General features: G+C 32.6%; 1 protein-coding gene across 9 annotated transcripts in view; it reads left to right on the top strand.

The window, feature by feature from the left end:
- CSMD3 (CUB and Sushi multiple domains 3) overlaps positions 1-13,890 on the top strand; it is a 1,214,012-nt gene that overhangs the window by 508,663 nt on the left and 691,459 nt on the right. For all 9 annotated transcript variants that reach the window (NM_001363185.1, XM_017013010.2, NM_052900.3 and 6 more), the window contains one exon: positions 6,526-6,650. In NM_001363185.1, coding sequence (NP_001350114.1) covers positions 6,526-6,650 — 125 coding nt within the window. The remainder of the gene's footprint in view (positions 1-6,525; positions 6,651-13,890) is intronic.

Genomic DNA, 13,890 nt, shown 5'->3' with positions numbered 1-13,890 from the left:
GTCATATGAAAATCTATATTAACTAATGCACTTGCCTAGGGCTTTTGCGTTTCTCTCTGAACAATGTATTTCTTTTGGGATTTTTCCTTTTTCCAGAATATTGCTTCTTTTGGAATTACACTATTTTTGAGTATACTGTTTTATGTTTCATAGAAGTATATAAGTAGAGGAAGTAAATCTACAAGAAGAAGGATGTACTCCTAGTGATAGAATTTATCTGAAGCTGAGTATTGGAGGGGCAAAGACAGGTAGCATTATTATCTTTCTAGTATACTTGAAATTGTACACAAATGACCAAGCTTGGGGTTATTAAATAGGGCAGTAGTTGGCATAAATATTGAATGAGGTAGTGAGTGACCTTAAGCATTCCACAAAGCAAGATACCCAGTAACAATATCCAGACTGATTATAACCAACAGTGTAAAGAAATATGAAAGTGTGTGAATGCTGAATTGAATTCTCTTTGTATCGGACATAGTCTTGGTTTGGATGACATTATTTCTGCAAAAGAATGACATTAATTTTATAAGGTCAAGGAAATAGGCAATAGGTATAAAAAAACATGGTATTCATTATGTTTTGAAGAAAAGTTTTGGTATGAGATGAAATACTTTGTAATATCTAACAAAGCTTATCAATGTAACTTAGAGTCAGAAACAAAATATTTTGAAAGTAAAGTAATTTATCATCCCTTTGGATAGAGTTTATTAACATTTAATTTTTATGACTTACAAATAAACAGATTAATACCATCACTTTTACTACCAGCTTAAAATGAGAGTTGAATATTCAAGAGAAAGAAGGAATAATTAATAGTACAAGTAATGACAAGGCGGGGTGGATTGAATCCCAAACTAGTTGGAGGAATGACCCCTCTATAAGGAGCTTCACTTGCTCCAATTTTACAAGAAGGAAATAAGAAAGAAATAATTCAAATTTGAGAAGAACTAGAATTTTGGAATTAGACTCAAAAGTACCTTTAACAGTGTAGAGCTTAAGTGGTTTTCACTTTTTTTTTGCTAATCTTAATTTTCAAAATTTCTGCAATACGTACTTGTACAATTTTAAAACAGAAAATCTCATATTGTAAAATAACCTTAGATATTCTAATGTGCAATTACTCATTTTTGAAATTGCTAGTTTAAAGACATTTAGAGAATAATTAGACTTTTAAAGATATTAAATCAGCATTATTGTGGTCATTTTGGTAATAGTTATTTTCTTGACGTTTAGTGTTTTGATTTTTTTGCTACAGAAATGGTTTGCAGATACTTTAATTTTTAGATCATCTGTCATGCCTGGACAATTTCTATTTGTACAGTGATAATTTTGAAAAATATGCATCTGCTACTTAGGGTTAAATTTCTGCATCTGTCAGGAAATTGTCTAGACCTTTTTAAATAGACCAAAAAATAATAACAACAAAAGTGCAGACAAATTTACTCTTGATGTAATGCTGTCAAGATTCATTCCTCCTCTGCTTTTTTTTTAGATCCTCTTCTATGACCCAAGCACTATTATCTGTCCTTCCATATTTCTGTATTTGTTCATATCCTGTCTATTTGATTGTAAATAAAATTATAGATTCACTATCTTGGGCCAACACAGGTAAAATTTGTGTATTTTGAAAAACCTCATATCTTCTCTTACTGACAGCTTTGATATTATAGGGTGTTTTTGCAAAATAAGTATCATTTTTAAAAAGATGACAGCACTTAAACATTGACCAGCATAATCATGAGAAGGTCAACTCTAGTTTTTCAAACAATATCATTATATATCATTTGCCTTATGACTTGGTACTTTCAAATTAAAAATGTGCTCAGCCATTTGTTTTGAAATGTTGTATCAGAATGAATAACTTATTAAAGTGGAAAGTTTTATTTGGCTGGGTAGGGCAGACATCTCTTCTGTGGTGACAGATGAATTTCAGTGGATACAGCTTGTCCTCCTTGTCATTTCATGGTAACTGAATACTTTCCTAGGAATGCATACACACACACAAACACACACACGCTCACACACACACACACACATATTTAATGAGTGTAAGTTTTTCTTAAGTTTGACTCAAATATTAAAACAGTTAATACAGTGAAAGCACAGTGCATTTGTTTAAGATATCCATTTCCTGATGATTGAGCCTGGATTTTACTGGAAAGGCTACTTATTTCATTGACTTCTGTCCTCTCTGTGTTGTTTTGCACTTTTATATTTTTGGTCTAGAATATGTTGAAGTGTAGCTGTGATCCTGGATGGAGATGTTTGCAAATGCCCAATATAGATGCTTTTCTTCATTAGTGGGGAAGAAATTAATGGCTTATACAATACAAATGAGTAATTAGAAATATTTGCCATCTTGGCAGTTTGGATTCTAAATCTGCATTTTAAAATATCCCATTCCCTCTCCTCCTGCAGCATAAACAGGAGCAGACCTAGAAAATCTAAATCAGAGGACATCCATGGGCCATGTGGCCAAAATGTCATATATGATGCATTTAGATGGCATCTTATAAGCTAACTTAAGATAAAATAGTAAGGTAGAAAATGGTCCTCTCATCTAGGTGAGAAGGCTCCTTTCTTCCTACCTTCTTTATCTTTACACTATTTCTCTCTCTTACTGCTCCATCTTAACTTAAGCCCCTAAATCATTGTAGCAATTGTTCTACTGAGGTATGGGAAAGCAATGCACAAAGAGATGAAAATATTTAATTTTTTTTTTTTGAGATGGCGTCTCCCTCTGTCGAGTGCAGTAGCGCGATCTCAGCTCACTGCAAGTTCCACTTCCCGGGTTCACTCCATTCTCCTGCCTCAGCCTCCCCAGTAGCTGGGACTACAGGTGCCCGCCAACACGCTGGGTTAATTTTTTTATTTTTATTTTTAGTAGAGACGGGGTCTCACCGTGTTAGCCAGGATGGTCTCGATCTCCTGACCTCGTAATCCTCCCTCCTTGGCCTCCCAGAGGAAAATATTTAATTCTTAATGGATAAATTAATAAGAGCTTCATGTGTAACCTAAAATTAAAATCAAATCTTAATAATGATTAAGCTAAATGAGGAAAATGAGAATTCCTGGCAGAGTAGACATTGTAGAAAGACCAAAGGTATGAGAAAAAGTAAATTACTGTTAATGGTATTTGGAACATAAGGTTCATGTTAGGGAGATATGGGATGTGAGAATATAAACTTTATAAATGGACAAAAATAAATTTCCCCCACCAGAACTTAAATATAATTATGACATGAAATTTTAAAGTTGGGACAAATGGAGGAATACAGAGATACTCAAAATGACTTTAAAAGACAAGAACCCCTAGACTATGAGGACTTCATTTTAATCTAACTGAGGGAAATAACTGAGTGCTTGATATGTGATAGACACTGTGTAGTTTATAAATAATATTTCATTACTTTATCACAACAGACGAGAAAGCTGAAGTTTAGGGCAAAGTTAGTATTTGAAAGGAGATACCTGTGATTCTGTAGCTTAAACTGTTCACCACTACTCTAAACTACTTTTCCCAGTGTATTAAGGGGAGAAGAACATGTTGAGATGGCTAATCTGTAGGGGAAAAATAAGTATAGAAGCTTCAGAGACCATTACTGGTAATCTTTAGTATAGTAGCAAAACAGTTATTTATTATTTTATAATAATTATAATTATTATTATTATCAATTTCCTGTCTCCACGCTAAGTGAATTAATTTTCTATAATCAAAAGAAACATGCTCAAACTCCTATCACTTAAACAAGATGTCATTTATTACTTTTAGCAAGAAGAGCCTGGTTAGAACTAGAATATCATAATCATCTGTGACAAATATGGTAACCATGATAGATCATTAATTTATTATGTTAGTGAGAAAATAGTAATTAAATGAATCCTATGGGCCAGGCCCTATACTGGGCCTTCTTTCTCCATCCCCTAAAGTTTTTACCATCATTAGCTTGTAGCTACTACTTTTCTAATACTTGTTGCCATCATAACATCTCCATGAAAACTCGGATTTCCGTGACAGCTTGTTAACTAAACTCTTTGCTTCTATCTTTGGCCGCTTAAATTGTATCCTTCACTCAGAAACCAATGAGTTCATTTTAAAGCATAGTATTCACTTGTCTTAAACCCCTGTAACAACTGCCCAATTCTCTCAGAATGAGGGTCAAAATCCTTATCATGGCCTAGAAAGTTGTAACCAATCTAACCACAACCCCTAATTGCTTCCTTGACTTAATTTCACATACCCCTCTCTTTATTTTCTGTGCTCCAATCACATTAGTATTTTTCTTGCTCTTTCTTGAACACAGCAAATGCAGCAGGCAATGGGAAATAGTGGGTGCCATGGATTATAAAAATTTAATTAACCTTGAGAGAGTATCCTGACAGAGAATATTTTTCCAGTTATAGGGATAAGGACATATCTGAGTGCATTAGACAGTCTTATATGATAGCAACCAATAAATCTGCAAAAGATAGCTTTAATCACTGTTTAAAATCTATACATAAACTTACAATACTTTTGGAAATGTTTGACATGTTGGGAAACAAAATAGATAAGAGACTTGAGGTTTTCTTAGTGGAAGCAGGGAGACAAATAAACAGTGTATTAGATAGTATATAGGAAATAACATGGAAGAAGATAATGGAATAGGCGTAGCTGTTTTACACAGAGCAGTAAGGGAGGGCCTTATGGATAAAATATCATGCGAGGAGAAACCAGAACAATTGAGAATGGGAGATACAGGACTTCTGAAGAAATGGTTTTCCAGATTGATATAACAGCAAGTGTAAAGACCCTGAGGGAGGCACATGCTTAATATCTTCAAGCCAGAGCAAGGAAGTCGATAAATCTAAAGAACAGACATGGAAGGAGAAAGCATAGGAAATTAATCCTGCAAATTAGCAGAGACCAAATCACATCGGCAATTTTAAGGGCAATCTCTTTAGTATGAGTGAAACAGGTGATCCTTTATTCTGAGTGAAACAGGGATGGGAAATTTGAAAGTACAAAAGTGATATAATTTGAACTAACCTTTGAAAAGTTTGCTCTGGATACTATTTAAGAACAGATTGCAGGGAGGCAAGAACAGAAAGAGGAAAAACTAACAACATAGCAAGAAGGACTATTGCAATCATATGAATGAGAAATTGTGGCTCAGATTCCTATTAACACTGTAGGGCTGAAAAATGTTAGATTCTGGATTTCTAATGTGTTGCTGACAGGATTTTCCTGATGGAGTGCTTGTGAAATGCAAGACAGAAAGATGAGTTAAGAATAACTGTAAGGTTTTTGGCCTTAGCAACTTGAAGAATGGAGTTTTCGTTTATTGAGATGAGAAAGAAGGAAAAGGCAGATAATTGACCGTTATGTAAACTTTTAAGGTTGCTCAAGCTCTAAGAGTAGTCTAAATAAAACTTGGAGTCATGACGAGGTCTAAGAAGACTGTAAATATAATCTCTCTTTGGTTATACGGATTAACTTCTAGAGATGTTGATCAGGTGTCACAATGAGTGAGAGATGACATGTAGGACTTTTTATGCCATGTTAAGGGACTATTTAGCCATAAAATGTATGGAGCCCTGTCATTTGCAACAACGTGGGTGGAACTGGAGATTGTTATGCGAATTGAGCCAGGCACAGAAAGACAAATATCACATGTTCTCACTTACCTGAGGGATCTAAAAATCAAAACAATTAAACATGGATATAGAGATTAGAATAATGGTTACCAGAGGCTGGGAAGGTTAGTGGGGGATGTGGGGGCGGCTAGGAGGGAGAGGGGTATGGTTAATGGGTAAAAAAAGAAATAGAAAGAATGAAAAAGACCTACTATTTGATAGCATAACAAGATAGCTATAGTCAATAATAACTTAATCATATAGTTCAAAATAACCAAAAGAATGTAATGGTATTTTTTGTAACACAAAGGATAAATTCATGAGGGGGATAAATACCTCATTCTCCCTGATTATTTCGTATTGCATGACTTCATGAAAACATCTTAGGTACCCCATAAATATATACACCCACTATATACCCACAAAAATTTAAAATATTTTTAGAAAAAAACACCTTATGAAAATCAATCAGTACAATTTTGCATCTCTAAATACATTAAATGCATGTTTATAGACACAAATGCATGTGTAAATGCATACACATGTAGAGACACATCTGCAAACATACACATGTAAATACATGCCAGAAAAACACCGTAATATGATATGAACACAAGCACTGTACTGGAATTCAAGTCAGAATAGCCACATTTTGATTCACATTTACCATCTACTTAGCATGGTAAACTTAGTGAATTATTTGACCTTCGTTCTACATCTATTAACAAGATGATTAAATTTGATGATAGCTTTACATTTCTACAAGTCATACTTTCACATTTTGTTTTCCAAAATACTTTTTGTCACTATAGTACATATTTGACCTATTGGATATTGCCAGCAGAAGTGAAGCCTAGTTATTATGTTGCATCTTTCTTATCATATTTTTTCTCTTTTATTTAACTTTAGCCTTGGATCAACTGTGCAGTTCTCTTGTGATGAAGATTATGTCCTACAGGGCGCAAAGAGCATCACCTGTCAACGGATAGCTGAAGTTTTTGCTGCTTGGAGTGATCACAGGCCTGTGTGTAAAGGTAATGTTTTATAATAATGCCCTCTGAACACATTTTAATAGTTTAACCTTTATTTCATTGTAATTAAGTTGCAATTAAGTCTTTGAATTGTAATATAATCTTTAAGGAAAGATTGTGCTCATATATTTATTGATATTTATAGAAAATCTGCAAAATGTGAATCAATCTATTAGGTTCCCAAGGAATTTCCAATTAATAATCATACAACATAGACTGAAGAATAAAGTATGTAATACAAGACTCTGGAAACATTGTCGGCATTTTTTGAAAATCACAATTACCCTGTCTGTATAGGCAATGATACAGATATTTTAAAGCCGTAATTTCTTCTCCACTTGCATAGTTTGCCATTTGAATTGCTTATGTGTCCGTGTCTACAATACTTGGTAGCAGTCAAGGTAGAGCACAGGTTCTACAGTTAGTTAATTTAATCTAGAACAAACCAGTTAGTTCTCTGGCTTTATATGTCACATTATCAATAATTCCAAATAAGATATAAATATATATCTTATATTATCTGCATGTGTGTATATATATGTAAGATATACATATGTATATATATCTTATCTGGAATTACTGGAGGTATATATATGTGTGTGTGTGTGTGTGTGTGTGTGTGTGTGTGTGTGCGCGCGCGCGTATGTGTGTACATATATATATATAAATACCAGTATGTGTATATGTGCGTGTGTGTGTGTGTGTGTGTGTATATATATATATATATGGCAAAATATTGACTGGACAAAACTCATTGAGGACAATTTTAAATATAGAAGAAAATATTATGAAAGGCAAGTGACATTTTGTACAGCTACTTAGAAAATAAAGAAAGGCACTAACACAACCAACTGGGGTACCTTTTTATTTTTAACATGGGAGTTCAAATGTATTAAAATCATCTGACTTTGTAGTTGAGTTTTAATAAGTAATTCACAGTGCAAAACACCTGATTATAAGTCAATTTGACTACCCATAGTGTAAATATCATCATCTTTAAATACTAAAAAAACTAACAGATATGCCAATATCATTAGACATAAACATCAAGGTTTGCAAGAACCATATCATTGAGGTCAGTCTGATTTCAAATAATTCCTCCCAGTAGAATTAAAATCTACACCTCAAATTTAAATATCTGTCACTGACTTGTGACAGAGTATAGAAAGAACTATTATCTCATTGAGATAAATGTTTAAAAATATGAATATAATTAAATGATGTTATATCTATATTATTATACTCCTTCTTCACCTTCTGACTGTTTCTTTGCCATCTATTCCACTTGCTTACCTTTTTCTTTTCTTTAACTGCTTGTGACCACTTGTAGGAACAAACATCAACTTTTTTAATTCATTAAACTGTTGTGTCAATTTAACTGTTAATCATGAAAACTAATCTTTCCCCCCTCCTTTATCCTAGCTAGCACATGCATCACCTTTCCTCAGATGAACTATTTCCACATAAATTAAATAAGCCTCCTTCTTTCTAAACTTTATAAAACTGTGTTTGAAAATGAATACCTCATCATGTCGTACTGGCATTTCTGATGGCTTGTTTGCTGTTCTGGTGGTTATTATTTTTAATAATGGTGTTTCTGCATTTTTCTGTGTCTCTGTACTCGAGTTCTCTCTAGCTCTTCTTCTCTTTAAATAGTATAGCTGCCAAACATATAAAGAAACTTGACCAGTTTACACCCAAAAAACATTGTCTATAAAATTCAAGTATTCCTATGATACGAGAAAGGCACACTTTTTTATAGCTTAGAAAGAAGCATACAGTATCTCATATTTTCTTATAAAGTGAATAATGAATAATACATTTTGTAAGGGTTACTTTCATGAATGTCATGGCAGTAAATAGAACAGTAAAATGTTCTATTTTACTGATTACACAAGGCTGATTTCTTGTGTCCTTCACTCAAGATGAAATTATAGCCATAAAGAGCAATATAGTGAACATCATGGCTTCAAAATGATATGTTTCAAATATCCTACTTCAATGTCACATAAATTAGATATGTGCATTTTTGTTAGCAAAAATGGATGTGAAAATAGATGACAGAGAAAAGGAGATTAATGTTAATGTAGGAACAAAATCTCACACCAGAAGTTATAGCCAGATCATGGAATTTAAGATCTACATAAAGTAAGATTGAGACTACATAGCATCTTTGTTCATTCAAGACTCTCATTTTGATTAAAAAGATGAATCATACTTATGATAGTAAATTGTTCAAAGGCAAAAATAAGGTGTTATATTACATTGTTATTTTTTTATAAACCCCATGGCACAAAGAGCAGCTCTCTACTGACTTGAATTTCAAGAACTATTTGTTGAATATTAATGTATGATTGGACTTTTTAGATTGCAAGATACATTATGTTATATATATAACATATGTATTCATATTCAACAATTATTATATAGGAAGTATAAAAAAAGCACATGTTCAAGATTCATATGTTGATATTATTTCATTTAAATTTACATTTTATTTTGCAGATATTAGACATAGCTGCATTTGCTCATTGCATGCAAGGCACGTATGTGTATGGTTTACAAAGTCCATTTTGTTGCTAGAAATTACTGGCGGTGGTAGTGGAAACAGTAATGGAGGGAACATGCTGAAATAGTAATTGAAGTTTTAAAATGACTACTGTGAGTCTGGACAAAGAGTAGTTCTCATGTCTCATGGGTTCTTGGACAGAATAAATATGCTTTTTCCAGACAACAGCATAAATTGCAGTATCAGTGCACTGCACCTTTGAGAGATTATTAACATAGCTTCTGTCTGTGTATTGCATGGTTGAGCAATCAAGAAATGGTGATTTTTAAAGGGATTAAAAGTTCACACAGACAGCAAATTATGAATTAAAAGAGCAGTTTATAAATTAATATTAATATTTTTTACACAAACAGAGACAATTCTTATTCCATAGATGGGTTATGTATACAAAGTATTTGCCAGTTTACAGTGGTGAAAACAATTATTCCCTTGTTGGATATGCAGTAGATATCCAAAAGCTGGAGCTTTTGCAAAAAGTAGCCTTATGTGTTGAAGATGTGTAGAATGTTCATTTTAGACCTTCCTGATACTTAAAGAAACAGTATGTGGTTGAGCATTGATAATTTTGATAATGCGGAAACATTTAAAATAGTTAATAATAATAGACTGAAGAAAAAAATGGCAAATTTTAATCTGTTTATTAGGATGGTACCAAGTAATCAAAGTCCGTTAAGTTACAAGGGCAAAAACCACTCATGGGATTAATGAAATGGGTAATTAAGGGAGGATGAGAAAAGAAGACAATGAAATGGGAAAATACTAAAAACAACCATAAAAATCATGACATCACCTTTTAATTTCTTTATTCAAAAAGCATGAAATTGTTATTATTCATTTATTGTTGTACTGATCAATTTATTTTTATTCATTCAACACTTATGAACATGAGTAGGTATTCTAGATTATGTACCATATGTGATATAGAGTATAAAATTATTTTTATTATTTTGTATTGATTTATAAGGCGTAAACACAAAACTAGATAATATATAATAGACTTGTTTACAAGTTAGTGCAAGCCTCTGCAAAATTCAGATGAGGAAGATTATTTCCATGTTTGGAAATGGCCGTTGAGTTGGAGAAAATAATATGTGGGCAGAACTTGGAAATTATTGTGGATATAGGCAGAGGAAGATGGATGTGAAAGTCATTTCAAATGTAGAGAATGTATCATGGGCAATCACAATGTGAATTGACACATCTGGGGAATCAGTTTGGTCAGTTATATGAAAGGATGTAGAGTGAGATAAAATTGGAGAGGTTATCTTATGTATCTCCTGGTTTGAAATATGTCTAGAAGCACTCCTAAACTTCCATTCCCATTGTCACTATTCTACAATTCCAATACGGCAACTATCACTTTTATTTTCATTTAGAGTACAATTTATCCCACCTGTTACTGACAGATTAATCCCATTAAAGTCTCGCTTTATGGATGGAGACAATGTGTTGGTGGTGGGTGTGGTGTTGCTGCAGCAGTTGCTGATGTTGCCGATTGTTAACTCTTTTGATTTCCAAAATCACCCATGATTTGCCTTTAAGCAACTTTTTTTTTAACTTGTACCAAAAGTTTATCCCAATGTCTCAATAATAAACAGAATTGCCACCTAGATATTCATATATGTCTAGCCTGTTCCTGAATGACCAAGCCAACCTCTCCAGGTCTTGTTCAGTTTTCACCTCCTACAAAAATTCTTTCCTATTTCAATATTCCCTTATTTCCTCATCTTCAAAATTACTTTACAATTACTGTCTTTGCCACACAATATAGCATTTAATTTTATTTTGTTTGGCAATGCTCCCTAATCATTTCATGGACAGTAGACTTGCTTCTTCAACAAAAGCCACCTCAAAAAGAACAAAATAATCAATGCCTCTAAAGTGTTCGAATTTTGAATGGATCTGTTCCAGCTGTTGCCAAAGAGGACAGTTATCAATATGGTCTACCCATCCATTACTGTTGATAGAATAAAACAATCTAAATGAGGTTCAATTCCTTTCTTTATAAACAATGGAAAAATGGGTGTACAGGTTATATGATAGACAACTACTGGTCAAACGTAAGAGCTGCGACCCTCACTAACTCATGTTTATTAAAAGCTCAGGGTCTTAACTTTTTCAAAATTATTTTACATATGTTACAAATTCCCTCTTATATATTATTCCTCTTCTCAGTGTTTAGCTCAGTGACCCACTGCACCCATATTTTTATACATACAGTAGCTGCTATAATAGTTTAAGAAATATTATAGGAAGATTTAATTAATTGTAACCAACAGTTTGAGAAGGTAGTAATAAGATCATTGCAACTACAGAAAGTTGCTCTAGTAGGCTTCCTGTTATGCAAAGGTAATTAGAAAATTTTGCCCAAGAACATATCAGAACCTGCTGAAATTTATCAGCCAGAAATGCATATAGCAGGTGTTTTTCTGTAGTTGTTGATGCCTTCTTAGTTTTGTGGAACATTCTTACAGATGAAATGATGCATAATAAGGATGATATTAGCAATTAATAGAGTGACATATGGTGAAGGAGATAGGCAGATGGTGTAGATATGGAAGTTTATCACACATTCATATTTCTTAGTGGTTTTTTTTTCTAAAAGCCATAGTGTGAAGCTTTATTAAACCATTTTGATTAGGAAACAAGCCTTACTAAGCTCTAACAATTAACAGGTTTTAATGATATCACTTACATGTTATTTGATGGAGATTAATAGTGATGCATTTATAGACAACTTAGTAGAAGATAGATCACTTAAATTCAAAACTCCCTGAACAATTAGAAATTTTGCATTTCAAGGGTGCCCTTCCAACAATTGTTTAGAAATACATTCTATACATTTTGCCTAGCTCTCAGATTATTACAAAAATATGCATATAATGAACAAATTCTTGATTCAGTTTTGGTACATAGCAGGAAAATCTCCACAGATATCAAAGAGAACATTTTCTTTCCAACTCATCATTTTCTAGGAGTATAACCTTGCTCATTTGCTTAATATCTTCTGAACATCAGTTTACTTATTTGTAAGTTGATGAGGGATTATTTGTAAGTTGATAAGGGATTGTATGGTCTCCTTTCAGTTGCAAATTCTAAATATTCTGAAGTATATTGACTGCTTCTGTATTGAAACTTGTTAAGGATATTTTTAGTTCAATATTCTTCTTTACCTTTGAATGCTGAGAATTTGCCTCAGTTCCTGAAACACACAAGCAATAATAATTTTTAAAAATTTTAATAAACTCTTGCTAATGAAATATTATTTTTATTGCATTATGTTTTGGATATTTAAAAAAGACAGGTTTCAAATTTGTTCAGTGCCAGAATGATGGTTATTGATTGTAAAACTGCTTCAAAGTAATTTAGATTCTGCAGATCTCTTATGCTTTATTTACCATTAAAATCTACCTTTGTATATAGGTAAAAGATTATTTGTCTTCATGCATTTTTATTATGAAGTGCACCCTTGTAATATGTTGAGTTTAAACAATGTATCTTTAGAAAAATAAAGGTGATTATAATGTCATTGTTGAAAATGCTATACACTAAGATATTTTTGAGAGTTTTCAAATGGGAAATAAATATTTTAATTCTTAAAATGTATTAGTAACAATTCTAAATTTTGGGAGAGAAAAATACAAAAGAAAACAACTCTTTAACTTTTAGCTAATATAATTTTAAAAGCCTAAAAATTTGAAATTTAATGGGGATAAAATGAGCTACATCATGCCCAAACAACAACTAACCAAGGAAAAAAAGACTGCAATAACCATATTAGTAATGAACGCTTTCGCTAAACTAAAAAACCAAGCACTGAAAAAAATCTGAAATGTAATGTCTTAATGCAAGGATGAACAAATGAAAAGCTAATAAAATCAGCACAGTGATTGCAATTTTGGAGGAGAAGCTACCTATATAAAAGGAAATGTTGAAAAATTATTAAAATAGAATAACTTTTTGTGTTCATAGTAAACTTATGAAATCTCTTAAAATTCCCCTGTGATGTAGAAAAACTTATTTCCTATATTTGCTGAAAATATGTGCTACTAGCAAAAAGCATCTTGAAGATCTGTGATGACTTAATAGCCTTTCCACTAATTCTGATCACATAAAAAGTTGGAAAACTTAAATATACTACAGTTAGGATTCCCTTATTTAGCTTCTCCACAGTAAAATCTCACTTTGTTTCAAAATAATAGCTGGGCTAGCTCTGGGAAGGAGGGTTTATAGATAAAAGTGATCACACTGTAACCTTTAGAATGTCTGTTGCTATGTATATGCACTCAAAATGTATAATTGTACCACGCAAAGTGAAAGAAACAATAGGAAAGGGAAAAATGATGAAACCTGGGAACCAAAGAGGAAACAAAAGGCATAGGCAGAATATATACAGACATTATTGATGAGAAAGAGATAAACTTTTATCCTTTAAATTGAATTTATTTGAAGTTGTAAAAGTCACTGGTCTTCTGCTTGATATGAATCTTCAGAATTTATGACATTTTGGCAGACCTTTCCTCATATTAAGGCATGAAGTATGTTCTTCTGCTTACTTTGTCTTACAGTAATTTTTGTGGAGCTAGGTAAATAGTGTCAACATCCCAAACAAATAGCAATGCCTGGCACATGGCAGATACTCACTAATATTTGAATGAATGGATGTTTTGTTTA

Source organism: Homo sapiens, chromosome 8 (assembly GCF_000001405.40).
Source record: "Homo sapiens chromosome 8, GRCh38.p14 Primary Assembly".
Classification (NCBI taxonomy): domain Eukaryota; kingdom Metazoa; phylum Chordata; class Mammalia; order Primates; family Hominidae; genus Homo; species Homo sapiens.
Note: the sequence above shows the minus strand (reverse complement) of the source record. Positions and strands in the feature narration are given on the sequence as shown.